General features: G+C 42.9%; 1 protein-coding gene and 1 long non-coding RNA gene across 5 annotated transcripts in view, besides 2 other annotated features; one reads left to right on the top strand and one right to left on the bottom strand.

The window, feature by feature from the left end:
• Positions 1 to 2,961: 2,961 nt before the first annotated feature.
• On the bottom strand, positions 2,962 to 20,660 carry LOC124907824 (uncharacterized). The gene is made up of 2 exons (XR_007086906.1): positions 19,976 to 20,660; positions 2,962 to 3,888 (listed from the first exon to the last, which is right to left on the bottom strand). It is a non-coding gene; the product is annotated as an uncharacterized LOC124907824 (long non-coding RNA).
• Positions 3,218 to 4,417: an enhancer, noted in NCBI's record as "MED14-independent group 3 enhancer chr2:70796083-70797282 (GRCh37/hg19 assembly coordinates)". NCBI's record gives its function as "activates an origin of replication core promoter dependent on BRD2, BRD4, P300/CBP and CDK7 cofactors, and independent of MED14, by STARR-seq in HCT116 cells {active_cell/tissue: HCT116}" and the evidence as "EXISTENCE:reporter gene assay evidence [ECO:0000049][PMID:35650434]".
• Positions 19,412 to 19,481: a silencer, noted in NCBI's record as "silent region_11613". NCBI's record gives its function as "represses an Ori minimal core promoter by ATAC-STARR-seq in GM12878 lymphoblastoid cells {active_cell/tissue: GM12878}" and the evidence as "EXISTENCE:reporter gene assay evidence [ECO:0000049][PMID:35858748]".
• TGFA (transforming growth factor alpha) overlaps positions 19,542 to 27,797 on the top strand; it is a 106,543-nt gene continuing 98,287 nt past the window's right edge. For 2 of the 4 annotated variants that reach the window (NM_001099691.3, NM_003236.4), the window contains exon 1: positions 19,542 to 19,640. In NM_001099691.3, the coding sequence (NP_001093161.1) occupies positions 19,601 to 19,640 (40 nt within the window). In that variant the 5' untranslated portion in view covers positions 19,542 to 19,600. Of the gene's footprint in view, positions 19,641 to 19,921; positions 20,185 to 27,797 lie in introns of those variants that run through there. The other 2 variants (NM_001308159.2, NM_001308158.2) reach the window with 1 other exon arrangement.

Below are 27,797 nucleotides of genomic sequence, written 5' to 3'. Positions count from 1 at the left end.
AATATTGTATGCTTTGATCCACAAACATGGTATATTCCTCCATTTATTTTGGTCTTTTAAACATTTTCCCTTCAGTGTTTTATAGTTTTCAATGTAGAGATCTTAAACATATTCTATTGTATTTATTCTTTAATATTTGATGATTTTATGTTGTATATAGTATTTTTACTTCATTTAAAATTATTTATTGCTAGTACATAGAAATTAATTGACCTTGTATTCTGCATCCTTGCTCAGGTCACTTATTAATCTTAATTATTTGTACATTCTGTTGAATTTTATACATATGCATCCCCTTTTCAGACCTGAAGTACAAGTTGACATGCATGAGTCCAGACCAATTTTCAGTTTCTAGCAGACATGCACCAAATAACATTTTCATTCTACTGAGGTAGCACATTCCCCATCTGGTTCTCTATTCTTGTGACCCACAGAGTCACCTGCAAAACTGCAATTGATAGAGTGTCCTGCTATTAGGAATCTTCCTGTCTCCACCCTTGCCTGTAGTGTTTAGCTTGTAAAGTTAAAGTTACACCTCCCAAGATACAGTACAAATTGCTGGTTCTCCTTCTTCCTACCCCTCCCCCACGTATACACACACTTCCTGGCCAGTTATTTCCTGGGAGGTGCTATCTCCAAATAGATGTAGTACTGGCATCCTCAAAAAGCAGGACTTCCATGGCACATGGGTGCCCGCTTAGTGTTCTGGTTGGTACAGACCGTGAATCTCTGTGTCTCTAAGAAAATAGGGGCAGCTGGCTTCCCACTGACTTCTATTACATGAGGCATAATTTGGATGGGTTTGTATCAATCCTATGTTTCTTGCCTTGTAATTAAGAACAATGCTTCCAAGAATCTGGGTAAGACTTTGATTGGGTCAAGTTTCTGGTGCTTGTTTTGAGTTCTTGTCTTTCTCTTTGTTTTCAAAGATATCACAGGAAAGTTGGGAGAGGCTGCCTGAGACATTTCTAGCCAAATGACATTTAAAGCCAGAAGTTATTTCTTTGTGGCCACCTATTTTTATATATGTGTTTAGATCTGTCATTAGGGGAAGAGGCAAAATGCCAGAAATCTGCCAAATAGGATTGTTTTTGGTTGACCAGAATGACATAAAGAAATAGAATCCATACACTAGAAAATGTTATTATCTTGTCACTTATAATGACATATTTATACAAGACCTGTTTTTCTGTATATATCAGACATCATTGCATTGATTTCAGCATGAAGGGATCCCCTTTCCTGCCTCTCCTCCACTCCCCCTCTTGCCAGGTCATCTTTTCTGACCATAGGACACTGTGCTAGCATCTTCCTCATCAGCTGAGACCTCCTAGAGTGCAGATCTTTTCGTAGTATGTTCTTTGCAAAGTGAACACTCCAGTCTCAGCTGCTCATTTCTCAACCTGTTTCCTGAGTTTATTCTTGTAAAACTATTTGATCAGGCAGTTAAATCTGGAAAAACACAAGAGAAAAGGGTGATATGGTAGGACCACGAGAGGTGGAAGGTGAACACTTGATTAAGAAATCTAATCCATAGTGTGTGAGGCCGACTCCTTGTTGTCTTCTTACCTTTTTAAAAAAAAAAACAACAACCTGTTTTTCAAAAGTGATGCTGTCATATCCTGAGAGTGACGCTGTAGGAAAAAAAAAATTTAAAAATAAAAACAAAACAAAACAAAGCTAAGCTTTCAGACTTGCAGGGCTAACATAGACTAGTTCCCAAAGACATGTGGGGTAGTGGTGGTTTTATGACTTTGTTTTGGTCAAAGGTTCCAACAAAAGGGCTTGGGATTATTGGAAGATTTAAGGAGTTTCAAGGATTAGTTCACTCATTCATTGAATGAATATTGATTGAGAATCAAGCACCTTCTGGACTTTGTGCTAGGTATATACACTTCTAACAGAGGAAGGTAGACATGAAAACTAACAATTTTGGAAGTCCTTATGTAATTATACTTGTGCTATGGGCATAATAGTTATAAATTTAGATGAAAGAAAAGACCTTTTAAATCTGGCTTGAAAAATTAAATCTGGCTTGAGAAGCCCAGGCTGTTGATGTTCATCCATTGATCCCTGCTATTCCTGGGTGATGTCATCCAGGAAAATGAGATAGAGCCCTATTCCTCAGACTGGGTGGCTCCCACAGGGGCTGGCCTCTGTGGAGGAGCCCCTCCTTCTATGCTTGACTATGGCAAGCCCCCATTGAGGGACCCAAGTTCACAGGCTTAGTGTCTGGACTTCACAGCACCTTAGCAGCTCTCCATCAGAGGCCTTATCACTGCTGGGAAGATGGTGCTGTGTGGTTGAGCTCACAAAATCAGCGACTTTCTTCTCTAAGCCCAATCCCCATGGTTCCAATGCCCAGCTTGATTCCCACTTCCACCTAGGAGGCACACAGCCTCCACATCCTTCTGGGGATCCTTCCACTGACCACCCCAAGATGCCTGCAAGGCCAAGAGAATCCAGTGAGAGGTATATTGGGGTGGACGGGCATCCATACCTGCATTGTGGGATCAGACAAAACACGCTGAGATGGGGACAAAGGAAGTGCTATGAGTGCCACTGAGAGGTCTATAGGGCAGTATCAGAGTCCATGGGTGGCCCTGACCATGTTTGAGGAATCAAGGGGGCCCCTGAAAAGGTGAGGTTTTGGCTGAGCCCTTAAAGGCAACTAGGAGTTAACAGGAGTCATTTAAACTTGGAAGCATGGAAGGTTGTTTGTGTGTGTGTGTGTGCGTGCTTCTGAGAATATGAGAATGCAGTAAGTGTGGGAATAATTCTAATAGAATTAGAAGGAGGGCATTTTGATTGGGAGCATAGCTGGTGAGTAGGGTTGCCTCAACCAAGTCTCATGTCTAGATATCTCTTATCTTCCTGGGACTTCCAGAGACATACCCGAGGGCACAGTACTGGTTCTGACTGCCCAGCTGAATTCTGCAAGAGCCAGGGAACTCAGAGATGTCTCCCAAATTTTACATTGTTTATTATGATCTCCTGGGGTAAATCATTAAACATGTTCCAGGTTCTTCCTTATACTAACTACAAATTCCTTCAAATCATTCACACCACCATGCATGTGAGAACATGTTTGGTGTCAAGATTCCCGTACCTGAAAGCGGCAAGGGTAGAGCCCCGCCCACAGGATGCGTACTCGGCATTCCTCATTCTCTTAGTCACTAGGTTCTCTACCCAGCTCCTATGTAGCTTCTTTCAGCTGTAATGTTTTCAAACAGTTTTTAAAAACTTGTCCCTTTCTTCTCCTTTCCCCCAAGTTTTTAAAGTAATACATGGGCAAAGCCAGCTTTCTTTTCAGGATCAAAATACAGAACAAATGAAAAAATTTATGGTATTTAACCTTCCCAAGTTTGAGCCTTCACAAAGAACGCAGCCAAGTTTTATATTTGTAACAGCTCTTCTACGTACACTTTGCCTTCTCTAACTTGGTTCCAAGCTTTATCTTCATTCCCAATTATGCCAATTCCATTTTTATTTAAAAAGAAAAAGCCTTCCCAGTTGTTATTAGAAACTACTATTTAGCTTCCCCTCTCTGCTACCTAGCAAACCACAGAGAGGAGTGTCCTAGGATTAGCCAGTCCTATGTGATTCATGGGGCCGCTTAGTCCTTATATGAACCTGACCGCTAACATGTCTGTTTTATTGTGGCAATGACTCTCAACTGTTATCCTGTGTGAGAAATAGGAGATTCCCTTCTTTTTCAAGCAGTGGTACATAAAGTAGCAGTCTCATCAGTTGAGCTGGCAGGGGACATCCAAGAGATCCGTGAGCGCTCCGAGATCTGAATAATGAACATCACAACACAACTGGGTCTTTAATTCCTCTTTGCCAGGGGTCCTGGTTGTGGGGATGTCCTTCCCTGAAGAGCCGGTCCTACAAGACAGAAGTGATGACTTTTCTTTAGCTCATGGCAGGTGTGATGGGAAGAAGAAATGTCTGCTGGGCCCACTCTGTGCCAGGCCCTGGATCTCAAGTTCAGAAGGCCAGGGTTCAAATTCTCACCTTGACGTTTCCTGGCTGTGTGACCCTAGACAAGTCACCTAGTTTCCGTGAGTCTCAGTTTTCACATCTTTAAATTGGGGATAACATTAGTAGCTTCACCTCCTAGGGTTGGTGTAAGGATCAAACAGATAATTATTCAGAAGCCCTTTGTAAGTGGCACCATGAGAAGGAAAATTTGGTTATCTCATTCGGTGTGATCCAACAGTAATATCAGGGGATCTATCCTACCCAGGAGTCTCATCCAGGGGAATCCCAAAGTCCTGCCCAACTGGAGAAGCAGGTTACTCACCTGACTTGTGTCTGGCATCAGGAAGAGGCTGATGGCCAGATCTTTAGTGATATCTAAGTCAAGGACCAGGCGGGCACATTTTTCTCAGATCTGAGGTGCAGTTTCAGAGCATAGGTGAAGGCTGTGTCATGGGCAAGAACTGGATTATGCTGAGTTACTTACTACTATATTTGCAAACATACATTGTCAAGTTTATAAAAATGCTTGCAAGAAAACACACACACACACACACACACACACACACACACACACACTAGAGGTCCAGTTATCTAACAGTAAGAAATAAAATGGCAGGATAAAACACCTTTCAGATCAGCACAGAAGTCAAAGGATTGTTGTTAATTTAAAATACAAGCACACACAGTGGGAAAAAAGTTAAGTGAATTACATCTGAATAAGGTCAACTAGATTTAGGTTTTTAATTAAAACAAGAAAAAACGACAACATAAAGATCTCTTAAAATCAATGACGTTAACATTAAATAAAAAATCTTATGATGCTTACTTTCTCCTATTGCTGGTAAACAGAGAGAGAAAGTGAGAAATAGGAAGAGAGAGAGGACAAGAGGGAAGGGAAAATGTGATAGGAGAGCAAGGCCAAGTGGGGTGGCAAGGAGAGAGACGATACAGCCCAGGGAAAGGAAGCAACAAAAGGTTCTTTTTTTCTTTTTCTTTTCTTTTTTTTTTTCTTGAGACGGACTCTTGCTCTGTCACCAGACTAGAGTGCAGTGGCACCATCTCAGCTCACTACAACCTGTGCCTCCTGGATTCAAGGGATTCTCCTGCCTCAGCCTCCCGAGTAGCTGGGACTACAGGTGCCCACCACCACACCCAGCTAATTTTTGTATTTTTAGTAGAGACGGGGTTTCACCATGTTGGCCAGGATGTTCTTGATCTTTTGACCTCGTGATCCACCTGCCTCGGCCTCCCAAAGTGCTGACAGGTGTGAGCCACCGCGCCTGGCCAACGAAAGGTTCTAAAGTGAGCGTGAAGCCCAACAAACGGCTCCTGTCCCCTGAAGCATCAATCGTCAAATAAATTACTGACTTTAAGACTCTTGGTTTTCCAACAGTTTCTCAGAGCAATCACTTCTGCTCTCAACATCGCTCATCTACCTGTGGGGGAATAAACGCTTGTTCTCATCGGAATTCGGAAAACGTGATGTGTAAAGAAATGACATATGTTTAGGGGATTTTCTTTGTGTGATCTTGGCTATATCTTAAAATCTGTTGGTTCACAGTGGGTCCTCAAATAATGTTTTGTTCACTATCGTTTTGTTGTAATGTTGATGAGAAAAAAAAATCAATTCCTGGCTGGAGCCACTGTCTGAGTGGAGTCTGCATATTCTCCCTGTGTCCGTGTGGGCTTTCTCCAGGCTCTCCAGTTCCTTCCCACATCCCAGAGATGTGCATGTCAGGTTCCTTGTTGTGTCTACAGGGCCCCAGTGAGTGAGTGCGGGTGTGTGTATGAGCGCCCTACGGTGGGCCGGTGCCCTGTCCAGGGCTGGTTCCTGCCTGGTGCTCTGAGCTGCCAGGGTAGGTTCCAGCCACCCCTTCCGCTGAACTGGAATAAGTGGGTAAATAATAATCTTACTTGTTTTTATTCATCTTTCTTAAATGTCAGTATAGCTCACATTTATTTCAATGTTTAATACTAGAAGTGTTTTAGTCTTTATTCAGAAGTTTGGTGATGTTTTTGTAACCAGAAATATGCCGTAAGAACTTAACTCTTGTTTATGTCAATTAGCCTATGGTAAAACTGGTTTTGTTATACATTGCAATTTCCAAGAACCCATCAATGATGTTAAATGAGGATTTACTACACTTTTCCTTTCTGCATTCCTGCTGGTGGCCAGTAGAAACTCAAGATAAAAAGAAGTGGGAAGGCCCTGCCATGGTGCTCGTGATTCCACTCCTTGTGTCAGACCTTTGGAGATTCAACTCTGCATAGCACCCCCAAAAGGGCAGACTGAGTATATGACTCAAAGTTCTCCAGAGAAACAAGAACAATAGGGGCTATGAAGATACAGAGAAAGAGATTTATTAGGAGGGCTTGGCTCACACCATTACTGAAGCTAAGAAGTCCCAAATCTGCCATCCCAGCTAAGCCAGTGATGTAGTTCCAGTCCAAGCCTTAAGGGCTGAGAACGAGGGGAGCCAAGGTTGTAAGTCCCAGTCTCAGTTCAAAGATTCAAGAAGTGAGGGCCAATGGTGTAAGCCCCCGTTCATGTCTGAGGACCCAAGAACCAGGAATGCTGATGTCCAAGACCAGGAGAAGGTGGATGTCTCAGCTCAATCAGAAGAAATTTGCCCTTCCTCCACCTTTTAATTCTATTCAGGCCCTGCTTGGGTAGGGTGATACCCACTTTTATTGATGAGGGCAGATTTTTACTCTGTTTACCAATTCAAAGGCTAATCTCCTCCGGAAACAACCTCACAGACACACACAGCTATTTGGGCATACCTTAGCCCTGTCAAGTTGACATATAAGATTAACCGTCACACTGAGGAACCCTTATGACCTGGGATACAACAAGCAAATGTCACTTCAGATACTTGCCCCTGATGATGTTAGTAATGGTTAGAGCTGACAGGGCAGAAGATGATAAAATGGATCAAAATTAGCAGGCTCCCTTTCCCCTTTCTGTATCATTCATGTGCACATCACATCCCTGTCGGAGCACCTCTCATCACAGATGGGCATTCTCACTCTCACAGTACTGGAAGAGCAGGGGAGATATGGAGTACAAAAGCCCTTCCCCAGGATTTCTATATCCACTTCCTTTGGTAATTACTGATATTATGGTAGTTACCCAACTACAAGCCAGTATCAGACAGAAAATCACTGTCCTGGCAAACTACTTTTCTAGTCCTATACACACACCAGGTTAGCCCCATCTTCCTGGACTGGGCGAATGCTGTAACCACCTATTCCACGTGAGGTGACAACAGTTGCAAGTCACAGCAGTGATGGCAGCCACTATGCATTGAGTGATTTTCATATGCCAGGCTCTGACTTACACCCTTTCATACACATCATCTCATTTGATCTTCATAATGACTTTATATGCTGGGTACTATCATATCCCCCATTTTACAGGTAAGGAAATTGACGATCAGAAACGTTCAGAAAGTTGTCCTTAGCCATTAGTGCTGGAGCTAAGATTTGAACCCAGACATCACAAAAGGCCACACAGTTTCCACCTTACCACCATGGTATTCAAGGTCTTATTCCCTATAGTGTTAGGCACAGTCTTTCAACATGGGACCACTTAGACTTTGATGATTTAAAGACTTCTATGTCTGATACAAACTCTATGTCTTAGCAGGTCTAATTGAGGGGGGTTTTGAATGAGCATCTGAAAGGAAAGGAGTATTTCGAAGTGTGTGGGAGGTTGGACAAAAGGAAGGAGTGTTTCCATAATTATGTGATTACTTCCAGCCTAGAATGAGCTTATTGCCAAAGGTCAAAGGTCACTTCGCCCAACTGACCAAGGAATTGGGAATGCCTCATTTCTTGGGAAATGAATGGACAATTCAGAGGCCTAGTCAGTCACTGCTACTTCTTAAGCTTTAAGCCATAAATCTAAAAAACATAGTAAACAAGGGAAGCTCTTTAAGACTCCTTCAGCGATCTAGTCTGATTGATTTTATTCACCGAAGATGCCAAAAAAATCTCTGACTTACTACAATTTGTTTTTTTGTAAGAAACTGAAAAGAGGAAAAACTCAAATGTTGTTGCTGTCCTTCATTTGAACATTTCTAATCCAAAGTAAACAGGGGAACTCTGTCCTTTGTGTTGGACAGTGGAAGACACAGGGCCCTTGTTCCAGGAACGAGCAGTATCGGCCCATCACAGGCCCCGGTTCACACTGAGGCGCCTGTGTCCAGGCAGTGAGATTGGCCCAGACAGCCTCTGATTCCTGCCTGCCCTGGTGCACCAGTGCAAACAGTTGATGTTCAAACTTCACTCTCCACGACCCCCTAATCATCTCTACCCACAAAGGAAGAGAAACTCTCCCACCTCTCATTCCTGTAGCTCTGTAACCAACCAAACCATTCTCACTGCTTTTCCTTCTGAAAGAAATTAATCTGTTTCTTATTACAAAAGCGAAATAGATTTATTGTGGAAAATTTAAATAAAGAAACAGAGAATAGACAAAGAATCACTCAATTTTACCACCCACAGTATTGAAACATTTTGCTATATCTGCAGCTTTCTGTTTCTCTATGCATGTATATAATATATTTATGGGGAGGGACAAAAATTGGATCATACTGTACATTTTTAGGAATATATTGTAAATAGTCATCAAAATACATTTCCATTGAATTAAAGAGCTAAAAATGTAAAATATAAATGTGCAAGAATAAGTATAGATGAATATTTACTGCAGATGTTGTTAACCTGGGATCCATCATAAACTCCAGAGAGTCTATAAACACCTATAATAATATGTGCAATTTGGTATATAGAGATGTGGATATAAATATAAATATATATGGGAGTAGTAGGCAAAACAGTTCGTAGTTTTCACCAGATTCTCCAAGCTGTAGGTGACCCAAAAAATCAATAATTTATATTAACTTGGCTTGGGGAAAAAGGCCCAATGTTGGAAACAGCCTACCACACAGCTGGTAGGAATGTTAATTGGTAAAACTTTTCTGTAGGGAAGTTTGGGGGAGTGTGTGTATGTGTGTATGTGTGATTTAAAATAGTCGTAAGAACACATTATGAAGTTAAACTAATGCAAAACAGTGTGAAGTTGTGGGAGGGGACAGAGATAGAGAAATAATTAATACAGAATATAAGTCCGGGGGGGGGGCGTGGAACCAAGAATGTTAAAGAATTTGCCATATGATAAAAGTATTATTTCAAACAATACCTTGTTTGAAGTGGGGAAAGAATGGATAAATGTACTCAGTATCAAAAAACCTTAAGATTCTAAGATTCTTCACACAAATCAAACTGTATGGAAAATGTTATATAATTGTGGTTAAATTGGCATCCTTGTTTGGTCCCATTAATAAGAATACTTCAAATGTCTTAATATGAAGGATTTTATCAATGCTGATTTAACAGAGGTATTCTTTACATAAATGAAATACCCTGTTTCTAGTTAACAAAGAAATTTTCCAGCCACTGTAGATAATTATAAGTTTTATCTTTGATTTTAAGATGTAATTATTTATATTAATGAAACATTACCTGAATTACTAGAACAAACTCTACTTGGTCACAGTGTATTATTTTTAATAACATTTTAGTTTTGATTTGCTAGCATTTTATTTACCTTTTTTCATCTATACTCTTAGGTCCGATCGATCTTCTGTTTTCTTTTTTTGCTTTTTGTTTTTGCTAATTTAGTTAGTTTGGGGTATCGGGGTTACTTTAGCTTCAAAAGCTGAATTGGGACCTTTTTCATTCTTTTTTAATGTTCTGGAATATTTTAAACAGCAAGAACATTAAATTTCTTGAGTGAAAAGAAATCCACGGTATAACTCTATGGAACAGGCCTTTTTTATAAAGTAATTATTTAACAACATATCCCTTTCTTCTTTGATTATTAGTCTTTTCAAGTTTTCTAGTTCTTGAGTCAATTTAGCAATTATATTTTCCTGGAAAATTTATTAATTTTAATAAAATTTTAAAATTCATTAACATTCAATTACATATTTTCTTATAATTAAAACACCTTTTCTATGCCACTTCTCATTCCCAACGTTGTGCATTTTCAATTTTCTCACTACTGTTCATGATTAGTCTTGTTATGGTTTCATTATTTTCAAAATGCTCTTGCATTTCTTTCCAATCTTTAAATTCATTAAGGTATGCTTTAATTGTAAACCCATATTTTTGCCTTCCATAGTTTTACTTTATTGCTTTTTCCTTCTCATTTCAGTCAAATTGTTAATTTAGTGAGTTTAGTTTCTTGATAATAAAAGAAAATTTGTGTCTACAAATTTTTCTTTGCATATAACTTTAGCTGAATCCCAAATGTTTTGATTTTGCTTTCATAACCATTTTGTAGCATACATTTTCTCTTTGATCCAAGAGTAATATGGATTAAAAAATTTATTTCCAAGTGATTAGATGTTTAAGTTGTCCTTTTGTTATTAAGTTCTAGTTTAATTGTATTATAGTCAATGGCTATAACCTAAAAAGTGTTTTCTTTTTTTTTTTTTTGAGATGGAGGGTGGAGTGCAGTGGCGCAATCCCGGTTCACTGCAACCTCCGCCTCCTGGGTTCAGGTGATTCTCCTGCCTCAGCCTCCCGAGTAGGTGAGATTACAGGCATGTGCCACCACATCTGGCTAATTTTTGTATTTTTAGTAGAGACGGGGTTTCACTATGTTAGCCAGCTGGTCTCGAACTCCTGACCTCAAGTGATCTGCCCGCCTCGGCTTCCCAAAGTGCTGGGATTACAGACGTGAGCCACCGTGCCCGGCAAAAGTGTTTTCTTAGAATTACTTAAGATTCTGAGGGTTGGCATATGATCATTTCTTTAAAATCTTCTAAAGATACTTGAAAGGAATATATATTTACAGAGTAGAAAATGTTGATTTGTATGTATTAATTATATCGGACAAATTATTCAAATTAATCATAACTTTACTTAATTTTTCCTTTTGAGGAGCCACAGACAGAAAGAGATGCTCGGGTTTGACAAAGTGTGGTCATTACTTACTGCTGCACAACAAGCCCCACTAAAATTTAGTGACTTAAAACAATGGCATTTTATTATTTATCACAATTCTATGGGTTGACTGGGTTCACTCTTACAGCCAAATTCAACTGGTAGGTGGGGTGGGGGGCTGGGTTCAGTAATGGGGGCTGTGCTCCATGCAGCCCCTCATTAGCCTCTAGTAGACTAGATTGGCAGCTGTTCATGATGCAGAAACATTCCAAGAGCACAAGCCCTAATGCACAGGAGTTTATGGAGTCTCTGCATGCATCATTCTCTTTACTCACATTCCATCAACCAAAGTAAGTCTCATGGCCAAACCCACAGTCCATGTGGGAGGGGACTACACAAGGAGGGGGTAATGGGAAGTTTGCTTCACTGGGGGCCATTCATGTTACAATCTACCAATACAAAGGAATTATAAATTTGTCCTTGTAGGTTTTCTTATATTTCTAACAGTTTTGACTAAAATGATCCTGTGTATATATTAATTTCCTTTTTGTTGTGAATTTTAGTTTTCTCCTCATTGTATCACCTCCCCAGGTTTTGTTTGGTTTGCATTTACTGAGCAATGGTTTTTGCTTAATAGTGATATAAATCACTATTGGGTGTGTTTCTTATAAGCCTCTCGTCAGATTTTGTATTTTAAAGGAGCAGTTAAACCTACTCATGATTAACGAGAACACAGATATATTTGTGTTTACTTCTACCATCTGATCATATTTTATATGCTTCCTGGCTTTTCTATCTTGGGATTTTCCTTGTTCTTTCTTCTTGCTACATTAATGTTACACACAACATCTCTTGCTCACTCTCTTTGTTCTTTTAGAAATGTGGATAAATTCTATTTTTATTCTATTACTAGTTACCTTTAAATTTTTAAATAAATTTTAAATTTCTCTGTCAGAGGAAAGATTTCACGGTAGCTATTAATTCTCTTCAACAAAAGATGAGCCTGGTACCGTGGCTCACACCTGTAATCCCAGCAGTTTGGGAGGCCGAGGCAGGCAGATCACCTGTGGTCAGGAGTTTGAGACCACCCTGGCCAACATAGTGAAACGCCATCTCTACTAAAAATACAAAAATAAGCCAGGTCTCGTGGCATATGCCTGTAATCCCAGCTACTTAGGAGGCTGAGGTGGGAGAATTGCTTGAATCCAGGAGGTGGAGGTGAACCAAGATTGCACCATTGCACTCCAGCCTGGGTGAGAGGGCAAGACTTGGAAGAAAGGAAGGAAGGAAGGAAGGAAGGAAGGAAGGAAGGAAGGAAGGAAGGAAGGAAGGAAAAACAAGCAAATACAAGCACATTTTTACTTTCCCTTCTCCTACGCCACCCCGTCCTCCCAATTTCTAAGACAATAATATGGGCCTTTAGATTTACTTTATTATTATTTAGTCCCAACTCCTAATCCATGTATACTGTTTTAGAACGCTCTTCCATATCTCAGACATTATGGACATGTAATTATCCCACATAGAAACATGGGTGAAAGAAACAGGTCCAGGGCTGGCTCAGCAGCTAGCTCTTCAATATCAAGGTGGGCATGTCTCAGATTCTGTTGGCCTCCTCCTCAGAGTCACAAGATGGATGCCACAACTCCAGATATTTCATCTTTTGACAACCAACTTTGAGGCAGAAAGTCAAGCTACCTTGCTTGACTTTATCAAGAAGCAAATTCCTTCCCAAAAAGCCTAACAGGAGACTCCCCCTGACATTTCATTGGCCAGATTTAGTCATGTGCCTGGCCCGAGGCCAATCATCAGCAAAGGCCAAGGGATTGTCGTGCCTCCTCCTGTGGGCAGAGGCATGCTGTCAACCAAACAAAATTGGGATTCTGTTAGCAGGAAGGAAAGTAAAATCTCCATCCTATTGACAACCAACAGTGAGCAGTACAACATATTAAAAATCAGGAGTTAGGTTCAACATTAAATTTTATTGCTGTCATTCACTGACATTTCTTTCACTTTATTGAGTTTATTTGCTTGGCTGGAATATTTTCTGTGGATTCTTTCGTTTTCATTTGGAGTGGTACATAAATGGTTTACTTTTAAATAGATTATCTGAAATATGTTGGTAAGAAACAGAATTTTGTGTCACAATCATTTCCCTTCAAAATTCCATGGGTATTGCTTTGTTTACTTTGGCAATTATGTCAAATGTCAATGTCAGTTATGATTTTTTTTAACTTTGGAGGTAACCTGATTCTTTTGCCTGAGTAGCTCCACAAAGCAGAAAACACTTCACTTCTCCATTGTCGACAAGTGCCTAACCCAGTGCCTGGAACACAACAGGCTTGCAATGGACACATGTGGAATAAAGAGATGAAAGAAAACTATTAAGAGCCAGTGGTGCTCTGTGGGGGCCCCCAAGAGAGCAGAGTTTCGCCTTCATATTGAAGAGTTTCTTTTCCCCACTGTTGTAAACACATAAAGCCAGCAAGGAGCTTGTGTGGCTGCCTTCGCCACTGCCCCCCAGCAATGTTGTCTCTGTACCAGGCACCAAATTAGGATCCCCTCAGTGGGATCCCTGCTCTGTATGCACCCCAGTACCTGGGCACTTCCTAAATGTTTCAAGAGGATGGAGACTTGCCCCACATGAGTTTTCTGTGGTTTGTTTGTTTGTTTGTTTGTTTGTTTGTTTGTTTATTTGAGACAGAGTCATGCTCTGCCGCCCAGGCTGGAGTGCAGTGGCGCGAGTTCGGCCTACTGCAACCTCTGCCTCCCGGGTTCAAGAGATTCTCCTGCCTCAGCCTCCCGAGGAGCTAGGATTACAGTTGCCCACAACCACACTCAGCTAATTTTTTTGAATTTTTAGCAGAGAAAGGGTTTCGCTATGTTGACCAGGCTGGTCTCGAACTCTGACCTCAGGTGATCCACCCACCTTGGCCTCCCAAAGTGCTGGGATTACAGGCATAAGTCACCATGCCCGGCCTCTGTGGTTTATTTTTGCCTGCAGCTCTTGTCATGACCAATTTGGGAGCATTACTGAGTCTGGGGTTGGGGGCGGGGGTCCTTCCCTGGAGAGGCTTTTCTCTGAGGTGAATTGAAGGTTGTCAAATCCTTCTGTCAAACTGGTCTCATCTGCATTAAGTCTTACAGAAATTCCTTAAAACGTCTGGCATGTGGGTGGAATCCTTCTTTCAGTTTTGAACAATGACATAGAGTTTCCCCTACCATTATTTTCCTTTGGTTCTTCAATGGAGTTTGGAAGCAGGGGGTGGGGGTGGTATGAGAAGTTCAAGGTGAGGGTTTGGATGTCTGTCACAGAATGCAAGTTTATCCTTGCACCTTTCATAGTCTCTTTAAACAAGATCCTCTCCACCTTATAGACTTGTGGGAGGCATAACACCCTCTTCCCATCACTAGTTCCTCCTGTTGGGGGATATAAGAAGTTTCTCTTCTATCAGCTCTCTGCTTTCTTTCTGAGCACTCCATCAGTATTTTGGATATTCTGGCTTTGGCTTTGTCTCATACCTTAGCTCTCTCAATTTATTTTCCCTTTTCCTCTGAGCTTGGGGAGAATCTCTTGAGTTTATCAGGCACACTGACCCATACTGAAAAATAAATTACCAAGCCACCTTTTCAGCTCTCTATAGTTCTTTGATTTCTCCTTCCTTGATTCTTCATATTTTCTTTCTCCTATCTCTCTTTTGCTTCTGTTAATCATCACTACCCTATTTCCATCAACATCATTAAGTGTACTTGCCTGAGTATTTCTGGGTGCTTGATTTAGGACTTTCCCAGGGGCACTCCTGCTGGGGCAATCTTTCCAGTCTCCAGAAGGGTATGGCTGTGTGGTTGAGACTGCTGAGGAAAGTAGCAAAGATAGGAGGACAGAATTGAATGCAAAGCTATCCTGCCTCCAAGCACGCTTAATGGAATGGCTTCACAGCAGCTGCGCTCAATCCTGTGGGTACTGCTACTGCATCCTGTCGTCTAGGAAGTTCACAAACTATATAATGTCTTTCACGTGGTAGCCACCTGGTGGCCCTGAGTCCCAGAGACTCTGACCTAGCACCTTGACTAGGACATGGAGCTGCTTGGACCACTAGTGGAACACCAACCTCCACACTTCAATACTGGGCTTTAGAGCCATTCTGTGAAATCTCCTCTGGAAAGGAAAGATTTGAGCTTCAATTTCAACTTCAATGTGCATTCCAAACGTAGGCCTGAGAGCTGGGGGATGGCAGATGTTAAGCAGAAGGTCAGACCAATCTTTGGACAACACTGGCAACGAAAATCACGCAGGTAGCTGAGAACAAAGCAAATGCCTCTTATCTCTTCTTACCTCGCCCATTATGCTGGTGATGAAAACTGTAAAAATGAGCCCAGCATAAGGTTTCCTACTTTTTCCTTTGGCAAGAGATAAGGAACACACTAATAGCTAAGGCCCCAGAGGGAGCTGATATTTAGACAATAGATTTCTTTTTCTAAATCCCTTAACACATTAAAATCTCCTCACTCTCCCTAAACACAGTTCTCCAGAGTCCTTAATAAAACTTCCCTCTTTCTTTCTCATACACAGATGACATCTCTCCTTTGCCCTCCCTCTGCACCAGGTGCCCCATCCTGTTTTCCCTCTGAGCCTGGCTGTCTGCTGCTGTCACCCAGGAAGGTCCTGCAGCCACCTGAACCAGCCCAGTTACTGCTCCCTGGGGCTTGACTGTGGGAATTGTAATTCCTTCAATGCTGGGCCCATGGCTGTGCTTCCTCCCAAAGAATGTCTGGGCTGTTCAATCCCCAGTATCTTGGGTAACTGCTGATCTAAAACAGCAAGCTCAGCTGGCCTGAATTATTCAGGGAAGGCTCTGGTGCTCATAGCTCCACAATCACTTCCACAAATGAATCAGGAAGGAAGGGGAGGCTGATCACAGTGAAGAAGAGGGCTCTTTAAACATACCCTCTATAATAAGCATGTAGGAGAAAGGAAAGGGAAAACTGACAGGGCGGTTTACCGGCTCTCAGTAGAGCATAACATAGTTCTCTTGTTTGCACAGGGAGGAGAGGCTGTGATTGGCTTCTCACAGAAGAGATTATACTGAGCTCAAGGCCAGCTGCAGCAAGTGTGTGCAAAGGCAGTCCAGGCAGACTCTTAGTGGGAAGGCCACATAATCATCAGGCTCCACGTGCAGAGAAACAGGAGCTGCAGTGGCCACGCGAGACAGATGCAGTGTCTGTAGGTGAAGGCGCATACCTGAGTCTCCACACAGCTTCAAGGGGCTACAGTTGGAATTTCACTCGGCTCAGAGAGTGAGGTGTTCCAATACAAAATGTCACACCACCCTTTAGGAAAAATGATTGCTTTGCTCTAAATCGCGTTCTGTCAATTTTTTTCTTATTTCTTTCACACCACAGCTGAGAAACAACTTCATACCTCCTGATTCACCTATGAAAATATTTCCCATAGGAAGAGGTATGCACGTGCATGTACATGCATATGCTCAAGCAAAGAAGCTGATATGAAAATGATAACATAAAGATAGTGGTAAGGAACTAAGACAAGGGAAAGGTGTGTCCACTGAGGGAGTTTTCCTTTAAATAATAGGTAGTTTTGTTGATGTCAAATATTATGCTAAGTATGCAAATAAATTCTTGCATTTAGTACTCACATCAACCCAATGAGTTAAGCATTATCCTTATTGAAAATGTGGAAACCGAGGCAGTATAGCAGAGAAGCCAGCACATAAGCCTCAGAACCAGCTTGTTCTGCTTTCAAAATCAAGCTCTGCCCTTTATTGGCTGTGTAATTCTGGGTAAGTTACTAAATTCACTCAGTCTTGATTCTTCTCTTATAAAAGGGGATGGGATCTATCTCATAAGATTATTGTGAGGATTAAATGAGATATATAAAATACAAAAGATAGAGCATCAACAATTTAGGATATTAGGTTTCCTCTATGACTAAACGTTTAAAAATCATTTCAATTCAGTTTACCAAAAAAATGATCTTTAAGTTAAAAAAAAAAAAAAAAACACCCAGCCCCTGATGACCTGTTTGACTTGAATGAATTGGAGGGTTATAAAACCACAGATATGGACCAGCTTTTGAAAATCTTGGAGGGAGAATTAATGATTTTCAAGCATTAGAATGTACTTTGATTTGGATACTCTTTAGTTTGTAAGATGGCAAGTTATCTCTTTTTTTCTTTTTTTTTTTTTTTTTTTTTTTTTGAGACGGAGTCTCGCTCTGTCGCCCAGGCTGGAGTGCAGTGGCGGGATCTCGGCTCACTGCAAGCTCCGCCTCCCGGGTTCACGCCATTCTCCTGCCTCAGCCTCCCAAGTAGCTGGGACTACAGGCGCCCGCCACTACGCCCGGCTAATTTTTTTTGTATTTTTAGTAGAGACGGGGTTTCACCGTTTTAGCCGGGATGGTCTCGATCTCCTGACCTCGTGATCCGCCCGCCTCGGCCTCCCAAAGTGCTGGGATTACAGGCGTGAGCCACCGCGCCCGGCCATCTCTTTTTTTCTTTTTTTTTTTTTTTTGAGACAGAGTCTTGTTCTGTCATCCAGGCTGGAGTGCAGTGGCACAATCTTGGCTCACTGCAACCTCTGCCTCCCAGGTTCAAGTGATTCTCGTGCCTCAGCCTCCCAAGTAGCTGGGACTACAGACGCACGCCACCATGTCTGGCTAATTTTTTGTATGTTTAGTAGAAATGGGGGGTTTTACCATGTTGCCCAGGCTGGTCTCGAACTCCTGAGCTCAAGCAATCCACCCACCTCAGCCTCCCAAAGTGATGGTATTACAGGTGTGAGCCACCATGCCTGGCCTGCAAGTTACCTCTTGATTTAAAATATTTTCCAATCATGAAGGAAATTGACTTGATTCTGCTACTTCCCTCCACCTCTGACTTTGGGGGTAGGGGACAGATAAGCAGAAACTGCTGAACATGACCCTCAGCCGGCTGGGCAGCCATCCCTCAGCCACAGTGAGCTTGATTTGCGTGTTCCAGTAGGAAGCAAGGAGTCAGGTCCTTCTCTAGTCCTGGGGAACAGGAGAAGGGTGGGGGAACCCCTGATTCCTCCCCTTCTGTAGCCAAAGCAGACTAGTTTAGGGAGGAGACAGGGAAACCACCAGAGCAGGTCAAGATCAACCTGAAGGAAGTGGGAGTCAGGGACAACCTACTAAAGGAAGTGCATGTGTGCCTTGTACATGCATGGGGTGGACCAAGGAAAAGATTTACCCTAAAAGAACAAAGTATGCTCCGACAAATCTATTGAAAGGAATGATTTACACTGGTGCTTCCTGCCCAAATGTTGAGACCAATGGCCTGGTGCTTCCTTCTTGAAACTAGGTTGCTCTACTTACATGAAACAAACTGGGCAGAGGTCAACCGTGAGAGCCTGAGCCTCCCCAAGTAAACAGCAAAAGATTCCCCAGGCCCAACAGCCCCCACCCCCACCTTCAAGGAAAGTGGATCTACCCGGAGCACGTAGGCCAGAGGAGGCAGGAGAAGAGGGTCAGTCCGTGAGCTCCGGGTACCTGGAGAACATGAATCTCCCGGGTGTACTGTCCCCATGAGGGTCACCGAGGAACCTATGGATCTTCCACTCTTCGCCCAGAATGTCTTCCCTCTATCCCCTCCACCTCCCCAAATTCCAGCACCAGGGGCCACCTCAGAGCCACAAATCCTGAAAGGACCACCCAGGTGACTCGGGCCCACACACCCCTCTTTCGGGGTACACTTGGTGGCAGGCTAGCAGGCTTTTGGCCTCAGCTGGTGGTGCCATATAACCAGATTCGTCACAGAGACCCATTTTTTATCAGTCCCAGGCCAGAAGTACGAAGACTGATCTTAACGATGTGGCCTGCCTGGGAGGTAAGGCGGCAGGCGTTGCCAGAATTGATGGGAACTGTGGCACAGGTGGGAAACCTGGTTTAACAAATTCTTCATTGATTCAGGGGACCACTTTCCTTGAGCCAAGTCTTGGCAAGCGGCCGGCGAAACTCACAGGTCCCTTTCCTGGCTGCGTCCCCAGCCTCCAGCCTTCCCCGCCCCAGAGATGCCCCAGGAGCGGCCCCTCGGTGTAGGTAACGGGTGCCCGGGCGGCTCCGCTCCGCCGCCTAGAGCCTGGAAGCCGCCACTGCGGCCCAGGACAATCCGGCTACGCGGCCGGCGCCGACCCCGCACGCTGGAGTCCGCTGCCGCACGGCGCTGGCAGTCGGGGGTGGTGTCTGAAGTCAGGCGCTTCCTGCCTTTTCGTCGGCCCGGGTGCCCGGCTCGCGCCGCCAGGCTCTGGGATCCCAGGTCGCCCCGCCCAGCAGCCCGCGCCCTGCTCGGTGCGCTCAGCGTCCCCGCCCCTTACCCCAAACCCCCACCCTCTGTGCCCTCAGGGGGGCACCCCCATCGGGGCGGGAGGGGGGGGTCAGCTGTGCCCCGGTCGCCGAGTGGCGAGGAGGTGACGGTAGCCGCCTTCCTATTTCCGCCCGGCGGGCAGCGCTGCGGGGCGAGTGCCAGCAGAGAGGCGCTCGGTCCTCCCTCCGCCCTCCCGCGCCGGGGGCAGGCCCTGCCTAGTCTGCGTCTTTTTCCCCCGCACCGCGGCGCCGCTCCGCCACTCGGGCACCGCAGGTAGGGCAGGAGGCTGGAGAGCCTGCTGCCCGCCCGCCCGTAAAATGGTCCCCTCGGCTGGACAGCTCGCCCTGTTCGCTCTGGGTACGTACGCCGGCTGCGGCGCCCCCTGCGCCGCGCGACACCCTGCTTCCCCCGGTCCCCGCCGAGTTCCCCTTTCCGGGGGTTTCTGCGCCCGCCTGGGAGAGTGGAGAGAAGCGAGTAGTCTCAATGGGTTGGCGCCTGGGAGGCAAGGGGAGTCATTAAGAATGACAAAGAGGGGACTGTCCGGTCGAGCGCCGAGGCTTCCCCGGGAAAGTGGCTGCCTGGGCCGTGCGTGAGAACACCTGGGAAGGGGAAGCGGAGTGTGAACGGGCTTGAACTTTAATCCGCCGCAGCTGTGTGTCTGCTCAGACACATGCCTACACCTACCTGCTTACCTGGCTGCCTCCAAGCCCGGCTCAGCCGGCGTCGCTGGCGTGTAGACTGGGCCGCCTCGGAACGGGGGCCGGCGTCTAACCCTCTGGCCGGGTCTTGCCTGCGCCCCTTTGGCACCCCCTGCCCACCTCTAAGCCCCAGCGACGAGCAGAGATGTTCAAGATCGGCAGAGGCGCCCTCGATCTCTTTTCAGAGCTCTTGAGCTTTGGGGGTAGGTTTTGGATTTTTGGGCGGATTAATGGTTCCTTTAATTAACTTCCCTGGGAGAAGTGGTTTCGGTGTCCGCCGAGGGCAGGAGCGAAACCCTAGACCGAGTGTTGCCAGTTTCCTTTGAGTATGTCCTTGGAAATGAAGGAGGGATGGGAAAGGTGAGGGGAAGTTAAACCCCTCTCCCGGGTCGGGTCTGCGGAGCGGTGCGTTTTTTGGCGGTGAAGTTCAAGGGTCTGTCTGGACGCGGTGAGGGCGCAGCGCCGCGCGCCTCCTGGCCAATTCTTGCCCCTTGTGCTGGTGGGTCTCTCTGGTGTTGAGATAGCTGATCAATAGCGCAGGTGTCCTGGTTATTGCTAGTCTTCCGTGAAGTGAATTGTTCGTTCGATATGCCCCGAGTTTAACCCGTATAGCATGCGGCTCGCTGCAGGGTGGTTAGAGTCTGTGGAAAGCCATGGAACTCCTCCCCAGAAATGCCCAGAGCCGCAGCCTCACCCAGCTCCGTGTACAACTACAGGGGGTTCGCGGCCCCGCCTGCAAGCCTGCCCTAGAAACGCTGATTAAAAACCGCAGCAGAAGGGGAGGCATCCTGTAAGAGAAATACAAGGCAGTCTTGGAACCGGATGCTCCCAGCTACACCCTTACCTGAAACTCACCAGCAGGTAACATGGGTATGGGAGGCTTTTCCCCCACATTTTTGAAGAATTGCCTTTTTTGTGTGCATGTATTGACTGTTGCTCTGATTTAAATTTTAGAAAAAGCAATAAAACATTACCAATACAAGGGAAGCTTCCTGGATATAATTATCCCTTGTAATGTTTTTGCAAATAATAGTAGTAAGTAGTAGTAGTAATAACAGCTGATGCTATTCGAGCATTTTACTCTGTGTCAGACACAGTCCAAGTGCTTTACATTTATTCATGCAGTTTTCACACCAACCGGATAAAGAAGGTGTTAATATTATTCTCATTATATAGCAGAGGAAAGTAAAGCACACAGGGTCCACAGTAAGTAACTGGACCAGGATTGTCGAAGAACGTGGAAGGAATGTGAATATGAAAAGTCACCTAACTTGTGGTCATTATAGTCCCATCTCTCTTTTGGGACTTTGCCTTAAAGAGAGATTATGTGGAATACCCTGGAACTTGTTGTTAAATTGAGTTTCCTATTGAATTCCTGGGATCTCAAGGTGGTTATTCGGTAAAAATTAGAGGCAGGAAATGATGAAGATAAGCACATTTGAGTAAGTGTTTGAAAGCTGTCCCTACACCCCACACTCCCATCCCAGAATTCTCGCCCACAAAGACTGCATTCATTCATCATGTAATTTTTCTCTTTTGCCTGAATGTTCTTTTCAGCTTGATCTTTGTTTCCTTCTTTAAGAAAATGATGTATAAACTTTAAAAGATTGATCAATATGTAAAAACTTGCTCACACAGTTCCAAAATGTGAGCAGTTGAAAAAAGTGGAGAAAAAAAAAAGGCAGGAGTAATTTACACCAGTGAGGACTCCTTTTTATTTATATGTCTTTAAAAGAAAAATCACAGCTGTGAGTTCTGTGCGTTTACTAGAACTGCTGCCTCCCACATATAGCTTTACTTTGCACATTTCCTTCAAAGCTGCTTTCCCCTCTGATTTTTCTTAAATAGTTGAAGGCAGTTCCAGGAGAATCAACCAGTGTTCCATCGCTACCCGAGATCTAGGAAACCTCCGTGGGGCTAGTCTGAGAAGGAACTGGCTGTTAGGAGTCTCGGTTAATGTTTGATTACTTGGAACCTGAGCATTGATTAATGTTTTCAGTAAGAGAATGTGAAGACTGTTGCCCAAATGGCAACACTGGAAACATAACCCAGGTTCCTGTGGTGGCTGCCCTCCCATGTCAGGTTTCCATCACTGGCAGGCAGACCGCACGGGGGCTTGGCATTTCCAGTTACATTTCCTCCTCTGTGTTCACGGAGCAAGATGTGTGATCTTGGGCAAGTTACTTAGCTTTTCTATGCCTTGTTTTTCTCACCTGCAAAATGGGGATATTAATAGGGTTGTTGAATATATTTAATGTATGCAGAAGGGTGCCTGGTATGTAGTAAGATCTTAATCTTATCATCATCATCATTGTTGTTGTTACTTTGGGCCCCATAGAATTCCAGACATCATTGCAGGTTATGTGAGTTGTATAACTGGGAGAGTTTGTAGGTTTTCGTTTATCTCATCTCCATGCTCTTTACCATTCCTTCGAAAAATATCACCCAACCTAAAAACCTACCTAGGTAATTTCTGGTGAATATGATTTGGCCAATGACAAATTCAAGCAAATCTGGAGGGTTTTTTTGTTTTGTTTTCTTTTGTTTTTTTGGTTTTTTGTTTTTTGAGACGGAGTCTCGCTCTGTCTCCCAGGCTGGAGTGCAGTGGCGCGATCTCGGCTCACTGCAAGCTCCGCCTCCCGGGTTCACGCCATTCTGCCTCAGCCTCCCGATTAGCTGGGACTACAGGCGCCCGCCACCACGCCCGGCTAATTTTTTAAATATATTTTTAGTAGAGACGGGGTTTCACCGTGTTAGCCAGGATGGTCTGCATCTCCTGACCGCGTGATCCACCCACCTCAGCCTCCCAAAGGGCTGGGATTACAGGCGTGAGCCACCGTGCCCGGCCCTGGAGGTTCTTTTAGACATCATGAATTCTTTAATTCTTTTTAATTTAATCTTTTTTAATTTTAATTATTTAATTATTTAATTTTTTATGCAAATTTTTTGTATCTCCTTTAGTATTCAACGATCAGTTGTTTATGGAAGTTAGCACTAAGTTCCAGTTTTGTCATCTGTAAAGTGGGAATAATAAAACTGTGCCCACCTCACAGGCTGTTGTAAGACTCAAATGAGATGGTAAATATGGAAGCTATTTATAAAAAAAAATAAGGACTGCACACAAAATGCAACTGATCTTATGATACAAAAATGGATTTTATAATCCAGAGATAAGCTTTATTATTTTTATGGCAACTCCCGTAAGTAAGGACCGAATGTGGACCTAAAGAATGATGTCATAGGAAATGAAGTAGCATTAAGGATGGGCAGAGGCGAAATAGATCACCTTCCCTGTTTAAGTCAGGACTGAGGGACCAGTACGGGAACTGAAAGAAGACGTTTCTTTTCTCTATTACCTGGACGTGATGTCTTTCAGAGTAGACAGTGGAGGTTTTCCTAGGACACATGTTTTCCGTATTGGGCAGCCATAATTAGGGAGTGTTCACTTAGAACATGGGCTGTAAAGCTGTATATGGAAGCCTTAGAGGCTGAGTTTTCCATATTTGCTTTTCCAGATTTTGGGTTCCTCAGGATAAAGTGATCTTTCTATAAATACTCAATGTCCCCTGCAAAGGGGACTTTTCTTATAGGAATAAGTGATGCTTCTTGTTACTGTTACTGTGGCAACATATGAAAAATAGATGACTTTTCCATTAGGCCTAAGGACCTTTTCAAAGTGTGTCTTGAACAAGGTCCTACTCTTTGCACTGCCCTCTAAAAGGGATGGGCAACGGGAAGAGGAGGTTTGGTTAATGGAAATGAAAATGGCTTGTACACACTGAATTAGGCATCTTGTGCTTGGTGTCACACTCAAAACCTCTGTAGTATCCTCTACAGCAGGCCTTACATTGGAATGATCTGGAGGGCTGGTTAAAATGGATGGCCAGGCCTCCTCCACTGCGGTTGTGATTCAGTAGGTGGGAGGTTTGCCTGGCTGACAAGTTCCCAGGTGTGGCGTATGTTGCTGATGGGGAAAGGGCAGAAGGGACCCTTGGAGAACCACTGCTTTTCAGTCAGTTGCTGTTAGGGAAACTTTTGGCTTAACCAATTGCATGTTACCTAAAGTACGTTCAGACGCTTGTAAATGCCACCGTGAATTTACAAGCTACTATTAAAGGCACTTTAAGGCCTGTCATGCCGACCAGGACAGAGTTAGCCCTCTTGCTGAGACGTCTTCATTTTAAGTGTTCTTGTTCGTTATCCATGGAAAATGTAACGATCCCATGTTATTAAACTTAAGCTTGCCAGTGCTAATCATGTCACCTTTTCCTTTGGATTACCAAAAGCTGACCGTTGTCTTGCTGCCGTTTCAAATATTTTTAATCACCTAATTAAAAATATGAACATAGCTCTTTGCTAAAGGGCTAATATGTTTAAGACTGCACTTAGATAGAGGAAGATTGGGAGACTTTTATGGTGGCTTTTGGTTTTGTTTAGCCTTTTCTTCCCCCTAGGAAATGTCAAGTATAAAAATCTTTCATAGGCTCAAGAAAGCCAGAAATCTACACTACCAAAACCATCTCTTAGGAGCTCTTCAAGGCACATTCCCTTTAGAATAACACTAAAAATCTAGGTAAAAACTGGGTAAAATGGTAAATTCTGTTAAGGATTACACGTTTGTTGTACTGAGTATGACTTAAGAAATAAATAGTTGCTACCTGGGCTTAGAAAAAGTTGGAAGTTTATTGAGATGGAATTTAATGTATTTTGCTAGTGCTCTAAGTCAGAGGAAGCAAATTTGTTTCACATGGAGCTGCTCCCCTAATCAAGTGAGTTCTATGCCTAGCACGTTTGGCTTTAATTTTTGTTGTTGTTGTTCCCTTACTGTGAAAGGCTTTCCGTTTTCTTCACCTTCGCATTTGTACCCTTGAAGTATTTGCTGCTGCTTAGGGTTTCCTCAAGACGGAACCCCTTTAGGTAACAACCAGGCTGCCATTGCTTCACCTGTTTTCATCTTGGAATGTGTTAACTTTTCCAGCTGGGAACCCCGGTAGCAGAGCCCTGGCCCCACTGTGTTCTGGTTTGGATTAATGTTGATTGGTGCTTAACCTCTCTCCTCTATCAGTTTGAGGGCTTCTTCCTCCTCACCTCTGTGTTTGGCACCTCTGAGCACAGGCCGAGCCTCAGCAGGGACCAATAAGTATTTGATGACCTCGTGGGGACCCAGTGCAGGATACTCTGAGGTACTCAGTTGGCAAACACTTGGTGGTGTTCATGTTAATCCTGAAAAATTCTTTATTATGGCAATCAAGGGTGGTTGCATATAAAGTCTTGCATCACTAATGCTGGTAGTCTTCAGGATAGCATTTTATTGTTTTAAAAAATAGATTATAATTTAATGTCTTCACAATTGCAAATCATATTTTTTCTCTAGAACACTTGGAAAATTAAGACAAGTGTAAGAGAGTGTTTTCATGACCTATAATTCCACCATGGAAAGATAACTGATTCACATTTTGTTTTAGAACCTGATGGATCTATTCTTTATAGTATACTATCTATCTATAGATATATATATCTCTCTATATATAGATATATATATCTCTATATATATCTATAGATAGTATATATATAGATAGTATATATTGTATAGATAGTATACTATATTACATATATAGCATATATAGTATACTATCTATATATATAATATAGTAGTATAAGTATAGATAGTATACTATCTATACTTATTCTATTTTTATACTATTATATAGATAGTGTAAGTATCTATTCTTTAAAAGCATATATGAATTCCAGTGGGTTCACACTGTTTAATGTACTTGTTTTTGTAACTTAATCTTTCATAATAGTTTTTGTTTGTTTTTCATGTTTTTTTTTTTTTTTCTTGAGATGGAGGCTCGCTCTGTTGCCCAGGCTGGAGTGCAGTGGCACGATCTAGGCTCACTGCAACCTCTGCCTCCCAGGTTTAAGTGATTTCCAGCTAATTTTTGTGTTTTTAGTAGAGACAGGATTTCTTCTTGTTGGCCAGGCTGGTCTTGAACTCCTGACCTCAGGCAATCTGCCCGCCTCGGCCTCCCAAAGTGCTGGATTACAGGCATGAGCCACCGTGCCCAGCCAACAAACATTTTTTGGGTCATTAAACATTCATCTATAGCATTTCTAGTGGCTGGGAAATACTCCCTTGACTACATTTATTGTAACGACTTTTGAAGCACTTTGACCATATAGATTTTTCCTATTTGTCACTATTATGAATAATCCACACATTGTTGTGGGAATATTAACCGATACAACATTTTTTTAAAAGTCAGCGTGGCAATAGCTACAAATTTTAAGTGGGCATAACTTCTGAGTCATCAATTTCACTTTTTGATATATCCTACATAAATACATGTTGAAATGTGCAAAGAAAAATGTAGAAGATGGTGACTATTGAATTGTTTGTAAGAACAAGTTGCTAGTACCACACTGCTATAATTATTTAAGGAGATTTCTTAAATCCTTTATTTTTCTATGTCAGTACAATGATTTACTGTGTAGCTATTTAAAAGATTTAGCTATTAAAAGGTTTTCTGGCCAAGCAAGGTGGCTCACACCTGTAATCCCAGCCCTTTGGGAGGTTGAGGCAGGCAGATCACTTGAGCCCAGGAGTTCAAGACCAGCCTGGGCAACATAGTGAGACTCCCACCATGGCTGGATCAAAGATGGCCAGATAGGAACAGCTTTGTCTGCAGCTCCCAGTGAGATACTCCCCACAATCTCTTCAAAAAAAAAAGAAAAAAGAAAAATTAGCGGGGTGTGGTAGTGCATGCCTGTAGTCCCAGCTACTTGGGAGGCTGAGGCTGGTGGATCACTGGAGCCTGGGAGGTCGAGGTTGCAGTGAGTCATGATTGAGCCACTGCACTCCAGCCTGGCCCTGTCTCAAAACAAAAATAATAATAATAAGGTTTTTCATTGGGATGGAGAGAGGGAGCAAGTGTTGAAAAACTGTCTATTGGGCACCATTCTTACTATCTGGGTAACAATGAATTGTACCCCAAATCACAGAATTACACGATATACCCATGTAACAAACCTGCACATGTACCCCTGAATCTAAAAATAAAAGTTGACATTAAAAATAAAAAAAAGTAATGAAGGGTTTTTGCAATACACTAAATTTAAAAGGGCAGGTTCCAGTGTCTTGCTCTGAATTGGTTAATTTTTTATAAGAAGCATATATTAAATCTATAGTGCCTAAAGTCAAAGAAGTAATACAACAGGCATTCTTGTACAGAAATGTTTGGCACATCCTGTAATATTTAGAATAAATTTCTAGAAATTGGCCTTTTCTCTCACTTTCTTGATCTTCCATAACACTGTAAGTTAGATTTAACATTTGCCAAGTTGATTGGAGAAAAATGATCTCAGCCCAGTTTTCATATGTAGTATTTGTTAGAGTCAGTAAATTTGTTGGACATTTGTCATTTTGCTACTTGCATCTTAACCTTTAAAAATTTTTTTCTTATTGATTGATCATCCTTTTCTTGGAGTTTTATAATAACACTTTATATGAGAAGAATAGTAATCCTTTTTCTGTCATACATTGCAAGTATTTTCCCCCATTTATTTTTTATCTTTTACTGTTTTGTTTATGGTATTTTGACATACCTAAGGTTTTTATTTTTATGTAGCAGAAACTATGCATCTTTCCCCATTAGTGTTCTACCTTTACTTATATATTTAGGAAAACCTTTTCTTATTCCAAGATATGCCAATATTTTCTTACTTTTTTTCTTGTAATTCTTTAGTGATCTCATATATTATGTTGAAATATTTTATCTATAATTTTTCTAGGGTATGTTGTGAGATGTAACTC

Source organism: Homo sapiens, chromosome 2, assembly GCF_000001405.40.
Source record: "Homo sapiens chromosome 2, GRCh38.p14 Primary Assembly".
NCBI lineage: Eukaryota > Metazoa > Chordata > Mammalia > Primates > Hominidae > Homo > Homo sapiens.
Note: the sequence above shows the minus strand (reverse complement) of the source record. Positions and strands in the feature narration are given on the sequence as shown.